Source organism: Homo sapiens, chromosome 16 (assembly GCF_000001405.40).
Source record: "Homo sapiens chromosome 16, GRCh38.p14 Primary Assembly".
In the NCBI taxonomy this organism is placed as follows: Eukaryota; Metazoa; Chordata; class Mammalia; order Primates; family Hominidae; genus Homo; species Homo sapiens.
In genome coordinates, this window is record NC_000016.10 from 59,808,810 (window position 1) to 59,830,982 (window position 22,173).

General features: G+C 36.3%; 2 annotated features.

Moving 5' to 3' along the window:
* Positions 391 to 923: an enhancer, noted in NCBI's record as "H3K4me1 hESC enhancer chr16:59843104-59843636 (GRCh37/hg19 assembly coordinates)". NCBI's record gives its function as "activates a minimal SCP1, AML or CMV promoter by ChIP-STARR-seq in naive H9 embryonic stem cells {active_cell/tissue: H9 hESC(naive)}" and the evidence as "EXISTENCE:reporter gene assay evidence [ECO:0000049][PMID:30033119]".
* Positions 924 to 1,455: an enhancer, noted in NCBI's record as "H3K4me1 hESC enhancer chr16:59843637-59844168 (GRCh37/hg19 assembly coordinates)". NCBI's record gives its function as "activates a minimal SCP1, AML or CMV promoter by ChIP-STARR-seq in naive H9 embryonic stem cells {active_cell/tissue: H9 hESC(naive)}" and the evidence as "EXISTENCE:reporter gene assay evidence [ECO:0000049][PMID:30033119]".

Consider the following 22,173-nt stretch of genomic DNA (forward strand, 5'->3'; position numbering starts at 1 on the left):
TCTGGAACAACATAAATAGATCTAACAGTTGCATTTTAGAATTAAAGAGGGACAAGAGAGAGAAAAAAGCACAGAAGATTGTTTTAAAAAAAAATACTGAGTGAAACCTCTCCAAATTTGGGAAAAGTTATAAACAGTCAAGTACAAGAAGTTCAAAGGTCTCCTCAGATTCAACTTAAAGAAGACTACACCAAAACATATTATAATCAAGGTATCAAAAATCAAAGATAGAGCAAGAATCCTGAAAGCAGCAAGAAGAAAAAAATAATGTCCTCCCATACCAGGGAACACCCATAAAGCTATCAGTGAATCTCAGCAGAAAATTTGCAGGCCAGGAGAAAATGATAATATATTCAATTGGATGAAAGAAAAAAAAACTTGCAAAATAAAAATATTTTATGTAGCAAAACTGTCCTTAAGAAAGAAAGGAAAATAACAACATTCCCAGACAAGCAAAAGCTGAGGGAGTTCATCACCACTAGATCTACCTTATAAGAAATGCAGGGATTCCGTTCCAAGTTGGCCAAATGGGAACAGCTCCGGTCTGCAGCTCCCAGTGTGACTGACGCAGAAGATGAGTGATTTCTGCATTTCCAACTGAGGTACCTGGTTCGTCTCACTGGGACTGGTTGGACGGTTGGTGCAGCCCATGGAGGGTGAGCTGAAGCAGGATAGGGCATTGCCTCATCCGGGAAGCGCAAGGGGTCAGGGGATTTCCCTTTCCTAGCCAAGGGAAGCTGTGACAGATTGTACCTGGAAAAATGGGACACTTCCGCCCAAATATTGTACTTTTCCAGTGGTCTTAGCAAACGGCACACCAATAGATTATATCCTACGCCTGGCTTGGCAGGTCCCCCGCCCATGGAGCCTTGCTCACTGCTAGCGCAGCAGTCTGAGATCGACCTGCGAGGCAGCAGCCTGGCAGGGGGAGGGGTGTCCGCCATTGCTGAGGCTTGAGTAGGTAAACAAAGCAGCCAGGGAAGCTCAAACTGGGTGGAGCCCACCGCAGCTCAACAAGGCCTGCTGCCTCTGTAGTCTCCACATGTGGGGGCATGGCATAAGTGAACAAAAGGGAGAAGAAACTTCTGCAGACTTAAATGTCCCTGTCTGACAGCTCTGAAGAGAGCAGTGGTTCTTCCAGCACAGTGTCTGAGCTCTGAGAATGGACAGACTGCCTTCTTAAGTGGGTCCCTGATCCCCGTGTAGTCTAACTGAAAGACACCTCCCAGTAGGGGCCAACTGACACCCCATACAGATGGGTGCCCCTCTGAGACGAAGCTTCCAGAGGAAGGATCAGGCAGCAATATTTGCTGTTCTGCAGCACAGCCTCCACTGGTGATACTCAGGCAAACAGAGTCTGGAGTGGACCTCCAGCAAACTCCAACAGGCCTGACTGTTAGAAGGAAAACTAACAAACAGAAAGGAATAGCATCAACATCAGCAAAAAGGACATCCACACCAAAACCCCATCTGTAGGTCACCAAGATCAAAGACCAAAGGTAGAAAAAAATCACAAAGATGGGGAGAAACCAGACCAGAAAAGCTGAAAATTCTAAAAATCCAGAGAGCCTCTTCTCCTCCAAAGGATCACAGCTCCTTGCCAGCAACAGAACAATGCTGGATGGAGAATGACTTTGAAGAGCTGACAGAAGTAGGCTTCAGAAGGTCAGTAATAACAAACTTCTCCGGGCTAAAGGAAGATGTTCAAACCCATTGCAAGGAAGCTAAAAACCTTAAAAAAAAGATTAGATGAATGGCTAACTAGAATAAACAGTGTAGAGAAGACCTTAAATGACCTGATGGAGCTGAAAACCATGGCACGAGAACTATGTGACACATGCGCAAGCTTCAATAGCCATTTTGATCAAGTGAAAGAAAGGGTATCAGTGATTGAAGATCAAATTAATGAAATGGAGCAAGAAGAGAAGATTAGAGAAAAAAGAGTAAAAAGAAACAAACAAAGCCTCCAAGAAATATGGGACTATGTGAAAAGACCAAATCTACGTTTGATTGTTGTACCTGAAAGTGATGGGGAGAATGGAACCAAGTCGGAAAACACTCTTCAGGATATTATCCAGGAGAACTTCCCCAATCTAGCAAGGCAGGCCAATGTTCAAATTCAGGAAATACAGAGAACACCACAAAGATACTCCTCGAGAAGAGCAACTCCAAGACACATAATTGTCAGATTCACCAAGATTGAAATGAAGGAAAAAATGTTAAGGGCAGCCAGAGAGAAAGGTCGGAGTACCCACAAAGGGAAGCCCATCAGACTAACAGCGGATCTCTCGCCAGAAACTAGAAGCCCGAAGAGAGTGGGGGCCAATATTCAACATTCTTAAAGAAAAGCATTTTCAACCCTGAATTTCATATCCAGCCAAACTAAGCTTCATAAGTGAAGGAGAAATAAAATCTGTTACAGACAAACAAATGCTGAGATATCTTGTCACCACCAGGCCTGCCTTACAAGAGCTCCTGAAGGAAGCACTAAACATGGAAAGGAACAACTGGTACCAGCTACTGCAAAAACATGCCAAATTGTAAAGACCATTGATGCTAGGAAGAAACAACATCAACTAATGGGCAAAATAACCAGCTAACATCATAATGACAGGATCAAATTCACACATAACAATATTAAACTTAAATGTAAATGGGCTAAATGCCCCAGTTAAAAGAAACAGACTGGCAAATTGGATAAAGAGTCAAGAACCATCCTTTGCTGTATTCAGGAGGCCCATCTCACTTGCAGAGACACACAAAGGCTCAAAATAAAGGGTTGGAGGAAGATCTACCAAGTAAATGGAAAACAAAAGAAAAAAAAAAAAGCAGGAGTTGCAATCCTAGTCTCTGATAAAACAGACATTAAACCCACAAAGATCAAAAGAGACAAAGAAGGTCATCACATAATGGTAAAGGGATCAATTCAACAAGAAGAGCTAACTATCCTAATATATATATGCACCCAATACAGGAGCACCCAGATTCATAAAGCAAGTCCTTAGAGATCTACAAAGAGACTTAGACCCCCACACAATAATAATGGGAGACTTTAACACCCCACTGTCAATATTAGACAGATCAATGAGACAGAAGGTTAACAATGATATCCAGGAATTGAACTCAGGTCTGCACCAAGCAGATCTAATAGACATCCTCCACCCTAAATCAACAGAATATACATTCTTCTCAGCACCACACTGCACTTATTCCAAAATTGACCACATAGTTGGAAGTAAAGCACTCCTCAGCAAATGTAAAAGAATACAAATCACAACAAACTGTCTCTCAGACCACAGTGCAATCAAATTAGAACTCAGGAATAAGAAACTCACTCAAAACCGCACAACTACATGGAAACTGAACAACCTGCTCCTGAGTGACTGCTGGGTAAATAATGAAATGAAGGCAGAAATAAAAATATTCTTTGAAACTAATGAGGACAAAGACACAGCATACCAGAATCTCTGGGACACATTTAAAGCAGTGTGTAGAGGGGAATTTATAGCACTAAATGCCCACAAGAGAAAGCAGGAAAGATCTAAAATCGACACCCTAACATCACAATTAAAAGAACTAGAGAAGCAAGAGCAAACAAATTCAAAAGCTAGCAGAAGGCAAGAAATAAATAAGATCAGAGCAGAACTGAAGGAGATAGAGACACAAAAAACCCTTCAAAAAATCAATGGATCCAGGAGCTGGTTTTTTGAAAAGATCAACAAAATTAATAGACTGCTTGCAAGACTAATGAAGAAAAGAGAGAAGAAACAAATAGACGCAATAAAAAATGATAAAGCAGATATCGCCACCAATCTCACAGGACTACAAACTACCATCAGAGAATACTATAAACACCTCTATGCAAATAAACTAGAAAATCTAGAAGAAATGGATAAATTCCTGGACACGTACACCTTCCCAAGACTAAATGAGGAAAAGTTGAATCTCTGAATAGACCAATAACAGGCTCTGAAATTGAGGCAATAATTAATAGTCTACCAACCAAAAAAAGTCCAGGACCCGACGGATTCACAGCCTAATTCTACCAGAGGTATCAAAAGGAGCTGGTACCATTCCTTCTGAAACTATTCCAATCAACAGAAAAAGAGGGAATCCTCCCTAACTCATTTTATGAGGCCAGCATCATCGTGATACCAAAGCCTGACAGAGACACAACAAAAAAAGAGAATTTTAGACCAATATCCCTGATGAACATCGATGCGAAATTCCTCAATAAAATACTGGCACACCAAATCCAGCAGCACATCAAAAAGCTTATCCACCATGATTAAGTCGGACTCATCCCTGGGATGCAAGGCTGGTTCAACATATGCAAATCAATAGACATAATCCATCATATAAACAGAACCAACGACAAAAACCACATGATTAACTCAATAGATGCAGAAAAGGACTTCGACAGAATTCAACAGCCCTTCATGCTAAAAACTCTCAATAAACTAGATATTGAGGGAACATATCTGAAATTAATAAGAGCTATTTATGACAAACCTACAGTCTATATCATACTGAATGGGCAAAAATTGGAAGCATTCCCCTTGAAAACTGACACAAGACAGGGATGCCCTCTCTCACCACTCCTATTCAACATAGTGCTGGACATTCTGGCCAGGGCAATCAGGCAAGAGAAAGAAATAAAGGGTACTCAGTTAGGAGAAGAGGAAGTCAAATTGTCCCTGTTTGCAGATGACATGATTGTATATTTAGAAAACCCCATTGTCTCAGCTCAAAATCTCCTTAAGCTGATAAGCAATCTCGGCAAAGTGTCAGGATAAAAAATCAATGTGTAAAAATCACAAGCATTCCTATACACCAATAACAGACAAACAGAGAGCCGAATCATGAGTGAACTCCCATTCACAATTGCTACAAAGAGAATAAAATACCTAGGAATCCAACTTACAAGGGATTTGAAGAACCTCTTCTAGGAGAACTACAAACCACTGCTCAAGGAAATAAAAGAGGACACAATCAAATGGAAGAACACTCCATGCTCATGGATAGGAAGAATCAATATTGTGAAAATGGCCATACTGCCCAAGGTAATTTATAGATTCAATGCCATCCCCATCAAGCTACCAATGACTTTCTTCACAGAGTTGGAAAAAACTACTTTAAACTTCATATGGAAGCAAAAAAGAGCCCACATTGCCAAGACAATCCTAAGCAAAAAGAACGAAGCTGGCGGCATCATGCTACCTGACTTCAAACTATACTACAAGGCTACAGTAACCAAAACAGCATGGTACTAGTACCAAAACAGAGATATAGATCAATGGAACAGAACAGAGCCCTCAGAAATAACACTGCATATCTACAACAGAGATACAGACCAATGGAACAGAACAGAGGCCTCAGAAATAACACCACACATCTAAAACCATCTGATCTTTGACAAACCTGACAAAAACAAGAAATAGGGAAAGGATTCCCTATTTAATAAATGGTGCTGTGAAAACTAGCTAGCCATATGTAGAAAGCCGAAACTAGATCTCTTCCTTACATCTTATACAAAAATTAATTCAAGATGGATTAAAGACTTAAATGTTAGGCCTAAAACCATAAAACCCCCAGAAGAAAACCTAGGCAATACCATTCAGACATAGGCATGGGCAAGGACTTCTTGTCTAAAACATCAAAAGCAATGGCAACAAAAGCCAAAATTGACAAATGGGATCTAATTAAAGAGCTTCTGCACAGCAAAAGAAACTACCATCAGAGTGAACAGGCAACCTACAAAATGGGAGAAAATTTTTGCAATCTACCCATCTGGCAAAGGGCTAATATCCAAGATCTACAAAGAACTTAAACAAATTTACAAGAAAAAAACAACCCCATCAAAAAGTGGGCAAAGGATATGAACAGACACTTCTCAAAAGAAGACATTTATGCAGCTAACAGACACATGAAAAAATGCTCATCATCACTGGTCATCAGAGAAATGCAAATCAAACCACAGTGAAATACCATCTCATACCAGTTAGAATGACGATCATTAAAAAGTCAGGAAACAACAGATGCTGGAGAGGATGTGGAGAAATAGGAACGCCTTTACACTGTTGGTGGGACTGTAAACTAGTTCAACCATTGTGGAAGACAGTGTGGCTATTCCTCAAGGATCTAGAACTAGAAATATCATATGACCCAGTGATCCCATTACTGGGTATATACCCAAAGGATTATAAATCATGCTACTATAAAGACACATGCACATGTATGTTTATTGTGGCACTATTCACAATAGAAAAGACGTGGAACCAACCCAAATGTCCATCAATGATAGACTGGATTAAGAAAATGTGGCACATATACAACATAGAATACTATGCAGCCATAAAAAAGGATGAGTTCATGTCCTTTGCAGTAACATGGAGAAGCTGGAAACCATCATTCTGAGCAAACTGCCACAAGGACAGAAAACCAAACACTGAATATTCTCACTCATAGGTGGGATTTGAACAATGAGAATACTTGGACACAGGGCGGGGAACATCACACACTGGGGCCTGTCATGGGGTGGGGGCCAGGAGGAGGGATAGCATTAGGAGAAATACCTAATGTAAATTATGAGTTAATTGGTGCAGAAAACCAACATGGCACATGTATACCTATGTAACAAACCTGCATGTTGTGCACATGTACCCTGGAACTTAAAGTATCTACAAAAAAAAAAATACTTTCGCATACCAAAAAATGGATTCAAAACCTCAAAAAAAAAAAAAATGAAATGCTAAAAGGAGTTCTTCCAGTTTAAAGTAAAGGACGATAATTTGCAACATAAAAGTACATGAAAGTATAAAACTCATGGCTGGGCATGGTGGCTCACATCTGTAATCCCAGCATTTTGGGAGGCCAAGGCAGGCAGATCACCTGAGGCCAGGAGTTCAAGACCAGCCTGACCAACATAGAGAAACTCCGTCTCTACTAAAAACAATAAAAAATTAGCTGGGCATGGTGGCTCATGCCTGTAATCTCAGCTTCTTGGGAAGCTGAGGCAGGAGAATCACTTGCACCCAGGAGGCAGAGGTTGTGGTGAGCTGAGATCACGCTATTGCCCTCCTGCCTGGGCACAAGAGCAAAACTCCATCTCAAAAAAAAAAAAAAAAAAAAAAAGAAAAAGGAAAAGGAAAAGAAAAAAAAGTATAAAACTGTAGTAAAAGTAAGTACATATTAAAATTCAAAATATTCTAATACTCTAATGGTGGTATATAAATCACTTATAAATTTGTTATAAAAGTTGACCGTCAAAATTATTAAAAAATATCTATAGCTATAATAATTTGTTTAGGGATGTACAATATTAAAAGGTGCAAATTGTGGCATCAAAAATGTAAAATATGATTGGGCAATAAAAATGTAGAGCTTTTGTATGCAGTTAATGTTAAGTTGTTAATACCTTAAGACAGCCTGTAACAACTATAGTAAATTTTACGTAAGCCTCATGGTAATCACAAAGCAAAATGTGTAGTAGATATATAAAAGATAAAGAAAAAGAAATCAAAATATGCCACTGAAGAAAATCATCTACTTACAAAGGAAGACAGCAAGAGAGGAAGAAAGAAAAAAAAAAGATCTTCATATTAACCAGAAAACAATGAACAAAGGGCAGCAGTAAATCCTTACCTATCAATAATTATCTTGAATGTAAATGAATTAAATTCTCCAATGAAAAGACATATAGAGTGAATGAATAAATAAAAATACAAGACTCAACTGTAAGCTGCCTACAAGGGACACTCAGCTTTAAGTACACACATAGACTATAAGTGAAGGGATAGAAGAATATATTTTATACAAATGAACCAAAAGAGAGCAGAGGTAGCTGTACTTATATCAGACAAAACAGACTTTAAGTTAAAAACTGGCAGGGGACAGTAGCTCACACCTCTAATCTCAGCACTTTGAGTGGTTGAGGTGGGCAGATCTCTTGAGCTCAGGAGTTCAAGACCAGCTTGGCAACATGGTGAAACCCCATCTCTATCGAAAAATACAGAAAAATAGTTGGATGTGGTGGCATGCACCTGTTGTCCTGGCTACTTGGGAGGCTGAGGTGAGAGAATTGCTTGAGCCTGGGGGATCAAGGCTGTAGTGAGCTGTGACTGTGCCATTGCACTCCAGCCTGGGTGACACAGTGAGACCCGTCTCAAAAAAGAAAAAAATGTAAAAACTGTAAAAAGAAAAAAAGAATGTCATTATATCATAATAAAGGAGTCAATTCATTAAAATAATATAATAATTGTAAACATATGTACACAATATTGAATTGCTCATATATATAAACCAAATATTAGTAGATCAGAAGGGATAGATAGATGGCAGTAAAAATAATAGTAGGAAACTTAATATCCTACTTTCAACTATGGAGAGATTATCCAGACAGAAAATTAATAAGGAAACACTGGATTGCAACTACACTTTAGATCAAGTGGACTTAATAGACACATACAGACTATTTCATCCAGTAGCAGCAGAATACACTTTTTTCTCAAGCACAAATGAAATATTCTCCAGGATAGATCATGTTAGAACACAAAATGAGGATTAATAAATTTTAGAAGTTTAAAATCATATCCAATATCCTTTCCAATCATAATGATATGCAACTAGAAATCATTAACAGGAAAAATTTTGAAAATGTATAAACAACATACTTCTAAACAAAAAAGTGGGTCAAATAAGAAATCTAAATGGAAATTTGAAAACATGTTGAGATAAAAGAAAACGGAAATACAAAACACCAAAATTTATGGGATGCAGCAAAAACAGTTCTAAGGGGGACGTTTATAGCAATAAATGCCTACATTAAAATAAAAGAATTATCTCTAACAATCAAATATTATTCAACTAGAAAAACAAAATCAGACTAAGTTCAAAGTTAGTAAAAGAAAGTAAATAATAAAAATCACAGCAGAATTCAATCAAATAGATACTAGAAAAAAAGATCAACACAACCAAAATATGTTTTCTTTAAAAAATAAATAAAACGGACAAATATTTAGTCTAAAAAAAGAGAAGAGTCAACTAAATAAAATCATGAATGCAAGAGATGTTGCAACTGATACCACACAAATACAAAAGATTGAAAGAGACTACTACCAACAATTATATGCTAACAAATTGAGTAACCTAGAAAAAAAAGATAAATTCCTGGACACATACAACCAACAATGACTTATACTGTGATGAAACAAAAAAAATCTGAGCAAATCCATAATGAAAGGAATACTGAATCAGTGAAAAATAATCTATCATCAAAGAAAAACCTGATGGTTCCATGGTTAAATTCTACCAAACATTTAAACATGAACTAATACCAATCCCTCTCAAACCCTTTTGAAAAATTGAAATAAGGGAATACTTATAAACTCATGTTACAATGCCAGTATTAGCCTGATACCGGGACTAGAAAGAACACTACCAGAAAAATAAAATTACAGGCCAATATCCCTGGTAAACCTCGGTGCAAAAATCCTCATGAAAATACTGGAAACCTAATTCAACAGCATATGAAATGAATCATCATGAATAAGTGGGATTTATCCATGGGATGCAAGGATGGTTCAATATACCATAATCACTAAATGTAATACCTCACATTAATAGAATGAAGTTTAAAATAATATGATTCTTTCAACAGATGCAGGAAAAGCATTTGATAAAATTCAACATGTCTTCATGATAAAAGCTGTCCACAAATTAAGTAAAAAACAAATATACCTCAACATAATAAAGGCCACATATGATAAACTCACAGTTAACTTCATACTCAATGGTAAAAAGGTGTAAGCATTTTCTCTAAGATCAGACAAGACTAGGATGCCCATTCTTGCCACATCTATCTAACATAGTACTGGAAGTCTTATCCAGAGCAGTTAAGCCAAAGAAAATTTAAAAAGACATCCAAATTGGGAATAAAGAAGTTAAATTGTCTCTGGAGATGACATGATTGTATATATAGAAAACTCTAAGAACTGTATCAAAAAGCTATTAATGACAATAAACAAATTTAGTAAAGTGGCAAAAGACAAAACATACAAAAATCAATACTGTTTCTATATACTAACAACAAACCATCTGAAAAAGAAATCAAGAAAACAATTCCATTTAAAATAGCATAAGAAAATCAAAGACTTATGAATAAATTTAAACAAGAAGAAGAAAAGCTGTACTCAGAAATCTATAAAACACTGATGAAATAAATTGGAGAAGACAAATAAATGGCCATATATCCTGTGTTCATTGATTGGAAGAATTGATACTTAAGAGTTCTACACTACCTAAAGTGATTCCCTGATTGAATAAAATTCCACTCAAAATTCTAAAGACATTTTTCATAGAAATAAAAAAAACACAGAAATAGAGAAAAATCACAGAATAAAAAGTATGAAATTACAAAAGACAGTGAGTAGCCAAGACAATCTTGAGTAAAAAGCAAAACAAAAGAAAAGCTGGGACATCACCTTGCCTAATCTCAGAATGTACTATAAAGCTACAGTAATCAAATAGCAATCTTACTTGAATGGTATAGTAACAGACATGTGGGCCAATAGAACAGAGTAGATAACCCAGAAATAATTCCACACATTTACAGTCAACTAATCACATACAACTAGAACAGACAATGGGGAAAGGGCAGTCTCTTCAATAAAGGTTGTGAGGAAAACTGTATATTCACATGCAGAAGAATCAAATTGGGCCTTTACCTTCCACCGTATTAAAAAAGTCACCTCAAAATGGATTATAGAATTAAACATAAAATTGTAAAACTACTGAAAGAAAACACAGAAAAACAGCTCCTTGGCATTAGTCTTTGCAACGATTTTTTGGATATGGTCCGAAAAGCACAGTCAATAACAGCAATAATAGATAAATGAGGTTGCATTAAACTAAATAGCTTCTGCCCTCTAAAGGAAAATAACCCAACAGTGTGAAGGGACAACCTAAATCTACAGAATGGAAGAAAATATTTGTAATTCATACATCTGATAATGAGTGAATATCTAAAATAAATAAGGAACTCAAACAATTGAATAGCAAGAAAACAACCCAATTATAAAACTACAAAATGAGCAGAGGAACTGAATAGACATGTTTTCAAAAAACAAGACATACAAACAGCTAGCAGGTATATGAAAAGGTGTTCAACATCACTAATCAACAGGGACATGCAATCAAATCCACAATAATATATCACCTCACTCCTGTTAGAATGACTATTATCAAAAGGCAAGGGTGGAGAGATGTAAATTAGTATACCCATTATAGGAAAGAGCATAAAGCTTGCTAAAAAATTAGAAATTGAACTACCATATGATCCAGTAATCTGACTACTTGGTATATGTATTTAAAGGAAATTAGTATGTCAGAGATATCTACACCCCCATGTTCACTGCAGCACTGTCCACAATAGCCAAGATATGGAATCAACCTGTGTCCATCAACAGATGAAGGAATTTTTAAAATATGGTATATATACACAATGAAATATTAATACCATTCATCCATAAAAAAGAAGAAAATCATGTCATTTGTGAAAGCATGGATGAACCTGGAGGGCATTAAGCCAAGTGAAATTAGCCAGGCACAGAAAGAGAAATACTTCATGATCTCACGTGTATAAGGAATCTAAAAATGTCAAGCTCTTAGGACCTGAGGATACAATTGTGGTTACTAGATCCCAGGAGAGGGAGGATCAGAAAGTGTTGGTCAAAGGGTACAGAGTTTCAGCCAGACAAGAGGACTAAGTTCTGGAGATCTATTTTACAGTATGGTACTTATAGCTAATAACAATATATTATATACCTAAAATGTGTTGAGAGAGTTGATTTGTAATCTTACCTGAAAAAAGTATGTGAAGTGATGGATGTGTTAATTAGCTTGACTTAATCATTTCACAATGTATTCATATGTCAAAAGTTCACATTGTACTCCATAAATGTATACCATTTTTATTTTTCAATTCAAAAATAAATCCAGAGGGTAAGAGATGAGATGCTTAATTACTGATGTGTATAAGAGGAGAAGTGGTCGAATTCCTAAGGCAAATTGTGCATAACTTGAGTATGGACCAAAGAGGGGCCACATGTAAGAGAGATGGCAGTAGACCCATCTTGCATCTTATCTCTGAGGACAACCTGGAAGAGTAGACAGAACTTTAGCAGAAGCTGAAAATATTACTAGATTCCTAAGAACTGAGGAAGGAATATGAATTAGTGTATAGATGCATTTGCACATATCAAATAACTCCAGAATGATGGAAGGTTGCTTAAGGACCCATGAAAGTGCTATGTCATCTTTCAACCTCTGCAATATCCAATAAGCACACAGCCCACAACAGTACCAATCAAGTAAGGTCTTTTCTTACCTTTCCTCTCTCTCCCAGCTCCAAACTTGGAGGAACTCTAGGTAGTTGATATGAAGGAAAGGGGAAGAAGAGGAAATTGATCATGCCATTTTCCGCACTGTAGACTTTTTGGTGTGAAAGAGTAAGAATGTGGAGAAGGCAAGATTTAACTTTAAATCCAGTTCAGATTAAATTCTTAGCTTAATTATATGGAATTATGCATTTTAATTTCTAAGTTGTGACTGTGTTTACACAAATATAATCACAGAACTTTTTTTTTCCCCAAAATGTTATGGGAGTTGGATGAATTTTCAACCAAGACAGAGAACTAGTTCTTTATGAGATTGAAAGTGAAAATGCTCTATAAAATCAAATTTACTTATTCCTTCAAAAGTAAAAGTAAATAATTGAGTTCCCAGGATTCAACATCAATGTACACACAAAATTTTATTTCTATATGCTAGCAAGAGATATTGGAAAATAAAATTAAATAAACAATGTTATTTCCAATGACATATACAGAAATTCTTAGAAATCCTTTCACAACAAGTTGTGAATAATATATACTATAAAACTCACGAAATATTGCCAAGACATTTGTTTATTTATTTATTTTTGAGACTGCATCTCCCTGTCACCCAGGCTGGAGTGCAGTGGCGGGATCTCTTCTCACTTCAGCCTCTGCCTCCCGGGTCCAAGCGATTCTCTCAAACTCCTGGCCTCGGCCGGGTGCTGTGGCTCACGCCTTTAATTCCAGCACTTTGAAAGGCCAAGGTGGGCGAATCACAAGGTCAGGAGTCCAAGACCAGCTTGACCAACATGGTGAAACCCTGTCTCTACTAAAAATACAAAAATTAGCTGGGCTTGGTGGCATACACCTGTAATCCGAGCTACTCAGGAGGCTAAGGCAGGAGAACTGTTTGAACCCGGGAAGCAGAGGTTGCAGTGAGTTGAGATTGTGCCACTGCACTCCAGCCTGGGTGACAGAGCGAAACTCCGTCTCAAAAAACAAACAAACAAACAACAACAACAACAAAACCTCCTGGCCTCAGGTGATCTGCCCTCCTCGGCCTCCCAAAGTGCTGGGATTACAGGTATCAGCCACCGCGCCCGGCCCAAGACAATTTTTTAAAATGTACATAAATGGAAGGACATACCATGTACCTGAATTTCAAGATGCCATTTAGTAGTATCTTTTGCTGTCAATCCTCCCTAATACATACATTAAATGTAATCATGATCCAAGTCCCCACAAAATTTTGCTTATAAATTAAAACTTGATTCTTATTTTAGAATAATTCAAAGCATCTCATGTTAAATTTAAAAAATTTGCAAAACAATGGTGGAAGAGTTACAAATCTAATTTTGATATATATTTTGTTTTGAGATGGAGTCTTGCTCTGTCACCCAGGCAGGGGTGCAGTGGCGCTATCTCAGCTCACTGCAGCCTCTGCAAAGACTCAAATACATGTTTGGGTCTATTTTATAAAGTGATGACAGGGTCATTCCACTGGGAAAGGATAGTCTTTCAACAAATGGAGCTGAAACAGGTAGATATTCATTGGGAAAAACAGCAATCTTCCCCTGACACCATCCAAAAAATAATTAAATATAAATCATAGACCTAACTATAAACTGTAAAATTTCTATAATAAAAACTTTACCATCTTGGGGTAAGTAAAAATTTTACAAACAAGACAAATTGCACTAGCCCAGTGATAAAAAAAACGATAAAGTAGACTTCATCAAAATTTACAAGAAATGTCCAGAATAGGCAAATCCACAGAGACAGGCAGCAAATTAGTGGTTGCGCACGGCTGGGGCAAGGGAGAAACGCTTAATAGGTATAAACTTTTTTTGGGAGGGTGATTAAAATGTTCTGGAACTAGACAGTAGTGATCGGTGAACACCGCTCTGAATGTACTAAAAGCCACTGAACTGTATGTTTTAAAATGGTGAATTTTATATTGTGTGAATTTTAATCAAAGATCTGCTCTTCAAAAGGCACCACTAAGAAAATGAAAAGTTAAGCATGGAGTAGGAGAAAAGATTTGCAATACATAAAACCAAAGGGGTTTATATGCAGGATAAGACACCATATGGAGAACTAAATGAAAAAACAAACAATGTCAGATTAAAAAATGTTTAAATAGACTTGAATTGATACTTCATAAAGAAAAAACATGGCCAGTGAGCTTATGAAAAGTCGCTTAGCGTTATTAGTCATCTCACCACCTGGTATAACACTTTATGACTTACAACAAATAATATTGAACACAATAATAACAATGAACACTCCAGAAATACTAATTGTTGTGATGATGCTGGTGGGAGTGTAAAATGGCAAACCCACAAAGTAAAAATATTTGGAAGTTTCTCACATATTTAAACAGACACTTCACCCACGATCTAGGAGTTTCATTTCTAGATATTTACTTTAGTAAATGAAAACGTGTCTATAAAATACTGTGCAAGAATGTTCATAGCAGTTTTATTTATAATAATTGAAAACCAAGGCAACCCAAATATTTGTCAACAGATGAAGGCATAAGCACATTGTGGTATTCACACAATGGAATCCTGCTCAGCAATTAGATGGAGTCACTATTGATACACATAACTGCATAAATCAATCTGAAAATATTTTTAAAAGAAACCGGAAAAACACAGAATACACATGGTATGATTTCATTCATATGAGGTTTAAAAATATGCAAACTAAACTATGGTAGTGAAATGGTGGTTGCTTCTAAAGGAAAGGATTGACTTAAAAATGGTCCTGAAACAACTGACTAGTATGATGAAAATGTTATATATTTTAATTACGATGATGGATAAAAAACTCATTTAACTGCATACCTAAAATCTGTAATTTTTTAAATAAGGGCTATATAATTCAATTAGGAAAGAATAAGTAATTTTTTAAAAGTCTCTGTACAATCTTATAGAAATCCTTCCTCTCTCCCTCTCTATTTTGTCTTCCTTATGGAGCACAGTTAAATATCCCTATCTATGGTACAATTTAGGTATAAACTATTTATTTAATAATTTGTTGATCTTAGGAAAAAATAGGCTTGATCTTTTAGGCTAGAGTTAAGTTCCAGCATCCCATACTCTAGAGAATTCAGGAAGTACCATGATACAGAAAGAACATGGCATTTGGAATCAAAATGACAAGGGTATTAGAACCAGCTCTGTCACTGATGAGCTGGATTTTGAAAAGATTAAATTGTCTAAGTCTCAGTTGCTTTATCTGTTCAGTAAAAGAGGACCCTATGTAATTTTCCCACAGAGTGGGAAAAGATCAAGATGATATTCATAGAATATTAGCACACATTAGTTAGAGCTCCCTAAGTGATAGTTTTTTTCTTACCCAATTCAAAAATTAATTGAATATTTTTAATTAAATAATTTATAAACCTTGAATTGAACATGATTTCTGATATTCTTAGGTTGCTTAATTTTTCCTGTATCTGACATATCTAAGGTGTTACTGGTCAACACTTCAAAGAGTACTCAAAAAACGTTTAAGAGTTTAACCAATTGCTGACACTGGATTTCATAATCTGGGGCATGTGTGATTTTCTCTGTGTACTCCAGTGAAAGGGAGCTTATTGGATATAAACAAGTTAACCTGTAAGGGGAAAACAGTTGCAGAGTTGTTACGAATGGGTAAAGAGTTAGGTAGTCATTACTCTTGCTGTTACTACTATCGAGAAGTCAGGAAATTACCCCATTTACTAATTTATCAATTCACTCATTCAGTCAGTTATTCCTTTGGTCATTTATTTGTTCATCTGCATAATTTTTCAACAAATATTTTGTGAATGCCTAATGTACTATGTGCTAGGTGTATGTAAAACAGAAACATTAAACGTTTCTTTTATATTTTTAATAATTTTACACAAGGGAAAGTGTACATAGATTCTTTGAGACAGCTTTAGCTGCAAAGGAGTCTACTGAAATTCCTCATGCTAACATGCTGTTTTCAGAATGTCAATGCCTAAGGTAGAAATTAAAGACCTCTGGGAGTTCTGGAGAGTACAGTCATTGGACAGACCTTAAAACAAGGAGACAGTATTGTCCCAAAGGTGAGAATATGACAATTGCTATGTCATGCCCATGAGTAATCACTGAGTTAATGCCTCCTTCAAAAATTCTGCCAGGGAACTTAGCTGTGTGCAGCACCTCTTGTTTGTTCTCAGGTTTGTAGTACTAACAAGGCTTCTTAACAATTAATTACACCCCTGTTTTACAAGTGTGAATGTTTTGATTTGTGAACTTTCTGGAGAACTTCAGGGAAATTTAAATTGCCCTCCAACAACTACCCAGTTCACTGCCCTGCACTATGCAAATTTGATATTAAATGATCAAGTATGAACCCGAAGCCTCATGAGGTCATGGAATCCCTTGATTTGGGACCAGGTGTATAGAGATGTTCAATTATTAAATAATTAGTTTGGAAACAATAACTAATGTAGTTTAGGTCTCTTGCTGATTTCCTAATGTTTGTTAATTTAAGCACCTGTGTCTTCCTGTAACACTTTCCTACAGAATGCTTACCAGGATATGTCTAGCATGTAAATTAACAATGAATATAATTACCTTTTTGCAACTCACTCCAGGTGCCTAAATGAGTAGAAATGAATTATGACTTTAATTGTCAGAAAGAGTTCAATATTCTGAATCTAATGATTTACAAAATCATTTAAATGTTTGGCTAAGTAATAATGTTAGTGTTAATTAAAACACCAAAATATTATATTTTTAGGTTAACCAAAGGTTCCATTAAAGATTCAGATAAATAATTATATAGTAAAGAGAAGCAGTTTGTTTTAGCATACCTAATCTGTTCTCTGACTATTTCAAGGATGACTGAAGTTGTAGATGTATTTTCCAGCCTTCAGCAAGGTCCCTAATTCTTTCCTTTGACCTTCCCCATTTTTCTTGGAAGTAAAACAAAATTCATCTTTGCAGAGAAATCATCCCATTGGCACTTAAAATTCATGTTCAAAATTGCACTCATTATCTTCTTATAAAGTCATCTCAATAATATCATCACCATTCCCTCATGTGACTAAAAAAGAATGTGAAAATCATTTTAGATTTATCTGTCTCCCTTCAGCCCTACATCCATTAGTTAACAAGTTCTGGTCATTTTTCTTCAGACTCATCACCAAATTCCCAACCAAACTCTCATCTTATCTTGCTTACTCTATCCCAGTAGTGTCTTCCTATTGAGTCATATTGTCCCGTCTTTAGGACCCTTGTCTCTAGCCTTAGCTGTAACCTTCAGGCCATCTTCTGAATATAAGAGTTATTTTTCCAAAGTGCAATTAAAAATAAGAGAAGGAAGAAAGTTCATGTCCCAAAGGTGCGGTTGCTAATGAGTTGGAAATGGGAGGAGTTTGTTTTGAGAGATAAGAGGAACACATATTGTCATTTTGAAACTATTCTGGATGTCATCTCTTTATGGAATCTTATTCATCAAAAATTATTCAACTAGTCATTTCACATTTACACATATTCCACATGTGTAAAATGGATATCTTTAATGGATATAAACACTAAAAATAAGATAAAACGTTTAAAAGTATAACATCTTCCTAGTATTGAAATATGCAGATAATGCCTTTAATTCTCAAATGAAATGCTCATACAGAGATAGTAAAAGACATATAATCTTATGGCATAATTATAGGCAAATCATCCCTAATCATTATTTCACAATTTCACCCTAAGTCTTAAGGTCAGGCAGTGGATTTATACGTAAGATGTTAAATTTGTTAAAGTGCCATGTTAGCACAAATTGATTTGATAAAGACTGGTAGAACTTTTCCTAAAATAGAAAGAAAATGGGTAAAATAATCTTTTAAAAAGTCTGTGACTTTCATGGCAGATTGGCAGGGGTACCCCATTATGTAGTGTAACATGTATTACTACACTCATAACAGTGCATGTTAAAATGCCAGGAAATAAACAGCAGGACTGAGGTAGGAATGAGGTTGCCTGCATAGAGCATTTCTTAGAAACATAATTACAGCATCATTGAAGCATGAAGGTAGCCACACATATTTGCAGCTGCTATAATCAGTGTAATTGGCCTGCCATTTCCTCTGCACACCCTTCTTTGGTTAAGACTTTAGGAGTGTTTCTGCTGGAATGATATAGTTAATGCCCATTTGTTCTCTTCATGCATTAAATCATGCTGTTCCTCTCTTCTACTCATATTGCTACTGTATCATATGATATTGTTTGTGGAGTAGATTCAACTGTCAAATGGACTTTCAGATTTTCTCTCAGAATGGAGTTTATAAAACAATTAAACATAAGACTTGTTTTCATTGTTGTTATTATTCTTTGCATCATTTCTGGGTCCAGTTATGAATATCCACCTCATTAGCCCCTCTCTGCGTGGATACCTTGATTGTCACTGGCAGAGAAAGAAAGAGGAAAATTATTCACGAATTGCTAGAGTCAACCAGGGCAAATTCTAAGGCAGGGTATCTCAAACTTACCTCCTAATGGTTATTCTACCAACAAGACAAATGTACTCATAATGGAATAAAATAATTTGTTTTTGTTGAAAAGATCATATGTAGTAGATTTACAAAGATTATGTGTAAATAGTTACCTTTAGCCTTGACAATAATCATATATTTATAGTCCAAGTAATTTTAGAACATCACCAATCTTTTCCCTAAATATTGAGAAGCAATGCTAATAGATATGGAAAGTCATTTAAAGTTTAAGTAAGGAAAAAACATAGTAGTTAGAGAATACAGTATTATTTTATATTAATTATGGTTGCAATGGTAATTAATGGGCTCAGAACTGGGAGAAATAAGACAAATTATAAATGATTACTGATTCCTTCTGCATCTGGTCATGGTGAATTAACAGGGATTGGACTTATCCTCCTACAGTAAACACTGAACAAATAATATAAAATGACTTATTTTAGACAGTGGGAAGAAGCACCGTAAGATCATGACCCCTGAGAAAAGCGAAATAAGCAGGGCGAGCCCCATGATCACATCGGTTTTCTTGCAGACACATTCCAATCCACAATGTTGGCAGAAAAATCCAGAGTGTAGCACAGTGGTTTGATGAAATGAGGAGGCAGATATCTCACTGCAGAAAAATTGAGGCAATTATTGAAGAATGATTGAAATAATTTTACCTTAGTGTTCTAGTTCCTGTGGTATCTTTGAAGCAGTGAGGAAAGTACAATGAGAACTGATCATAATACCTAAGAACTAAGAAATAAGAAAAGAAGGAAAGCAGGAAAGAAGAGAGAGAAAAGAGAGATGGAGACAGAGAAGGGAAGAGAAAGAGGGAGGAGAAGCTAAGGAACGAGAAGGGGAGGGAGAGGAAGAGGGGCATGGGAAGAGGGGAGAAAGAAAAGAAAGCAGGAAGAAAAGGTAGAGGGAGAAGGAGGGGAGAGGAGAAAAAAGGAAGAAAAGAAAAAAAGGAAAGGGGGAGGGAAGGACAGGATGAAAGGAAGGAAGGAAGGAAAGGGGGAAAGGAGAAAGGAAGAGAGAGAAAGAAAGAAATTAGCATTTGTAATATGCATGCTATTTAAGATTTCCATAGTGATCATGGATTTCCCAGCAATGAAAATATAAACATTTCATGTTTCATCTTTTCTCTTTGCTGTGTGCTTAGGATGATGAAGGTGAAGGCATAGTCAGAGGAGGGAAGCCGAAAACCATGTAATACTATGCAGCCATAAAAAATGATGAATTCATGTCTTTTGTAAGGACATGGATGAAGCTGGAAACCATCATTCTCAGCAAACTATCACAAGGACAAAAAACCAAACACCGCATGTTCTCACTCATAGGTGGAAATTGAACAATGAGAACACTTGGACACAGGAAGGGGAACGTCACACACAGGGGCCTGTTGTGGGGTGGGGGGAGGGGGGAGGGATAGCATTAGGAGATATACCTAATGTAAATGATGAGTTAATGGGTGCAGCACACCAACATGGCACATGTATACATATGTAACAAACCTGCACATTGTGCACATGTACCCTAGAACTTAGAGTATAATAATAATAATAATAATAAAAAGAAAGTTTATGTTCCCACTGTTTCGAAACCCTTTTTTAGTGTGGGTAATCTTAAACTACCAATATATGACAAGTACTAATGTTGCCAGATAATCGGATATATCATTTTTTAAGAAATGCTGTTCAGATTTTATAAATCCATTTGCATATTTGCATAGCATTCAGTGGTATTTCAGGGGAGGAATGATACTTGGGGCAGGATCCGGTTTCTTTGGATGGGCTATTTGTTCTCCTTATAGCAAGTTCTGACCTGAATTCAGAGAGGCTATACAGACAAATGGACCTTCAGATGAAGAATTTAAGTGTAAGAAGAAAAATAATCTTACTAAATAAAGTACCTTACTACATCTTGGCAAACATAACCATATGGCACTCTTATCTCCTAGAGGTACAGATGTTATCTTTCAGGATATAGAATAATCCACTCACATCTTCTTCATTATACTGGTCTATCTTGATAGATTAAGGCCAATCTTATAAGTTCATTGGGATAGAGGTGGCAAATAAAACTTAAATTTTCCTCAATTTTTGTCTCCTCACACCAGTATGGTCTTAGTTCTCTAAAGAATTATCACTCATAGTTTATAATAGAATCAATTGATAAAATAATTATTAACCATTACGGGTCATTAATACTTTATAAAGCATGCTCGCATATATATTGTTCCAAAATAACTTTTTTTGGGAATTTATATTTCAGACTTGGTGCTCTGCAAGTGAAATATGATTATACTGAACTCCTTTAGTCTTTGAAATTAATTATAGGTGCTAATAACTATCCCTATTTTAGAGAGAAGACATAAGCGCTTTAGGAAGGAACCTAGCCCATGTTACACAACCCGAACTTGAGGGGCAATGTAAAGACCCAGGTTTGCTCTGCTTCAAACCTCAAGCACCTAAATATCATGATGCCTCTTTAGTATCATGTTTTACATTTTATAAATGAAGAAATGAGGGGGTCAGAGAGGTGCTTCACCTAGGAACATGGAGTTACCTAAGGACATGCAGTTACCTAAAGAGGACAATTGAGATCTATATTCAGATTTTTCATAAAAAATCTTTGAGTATTTTTCCTACTCTGTAGCAGCTTCTCAAGTTATTGGTCACATATAAGCATAAGAAATATTTCTCAGGTACCTTTCCTTTTTAAAATGTGTAAGTGTTCCTATGTCAGAAAGGTCTTCAGGTTGCACATTCTATATAAATTGTAATGAGATACATGTAGGCATAAATGTATTTCTAACTGTAAAATATAATTACTTAAAAAAATAACTGTACTAATTTTTAGGGGGTCTAGCATTGAAAAAAAATATGAGAGTAACAGATGTAGATGTAATTTTAATCTAAGGCCAGGTACTCCATATGAGATAATTTAAGTGACAAATCCCTGGACAATTCAGGGGGAAAAGAAGCAAAAATTAACATTTTCGGAGCTTTATTAAAGTAAGCCTATTTTTTTTTTATACTTTAAGTTTTAGGGTACATGTGCACAACATGCAGGTTAGTTATATATGTATACATGTGCCATGTTGGTGTGCTGCACCCATTAACTCATCACTTAATATTAGGTATATCTCCTAATGCTATCCCTGCCCCCTCCCCTCACCCCACAACAGGCCCCGGTGTGTGATGTTCCCCTTCCTGTGTCCATGTGTTCCCATTGTTCAATTCCCACCTGTGAATGAGAACATGAGGTGTTTGATTTTTTGTCCTTGCGATAGTTTGCTGA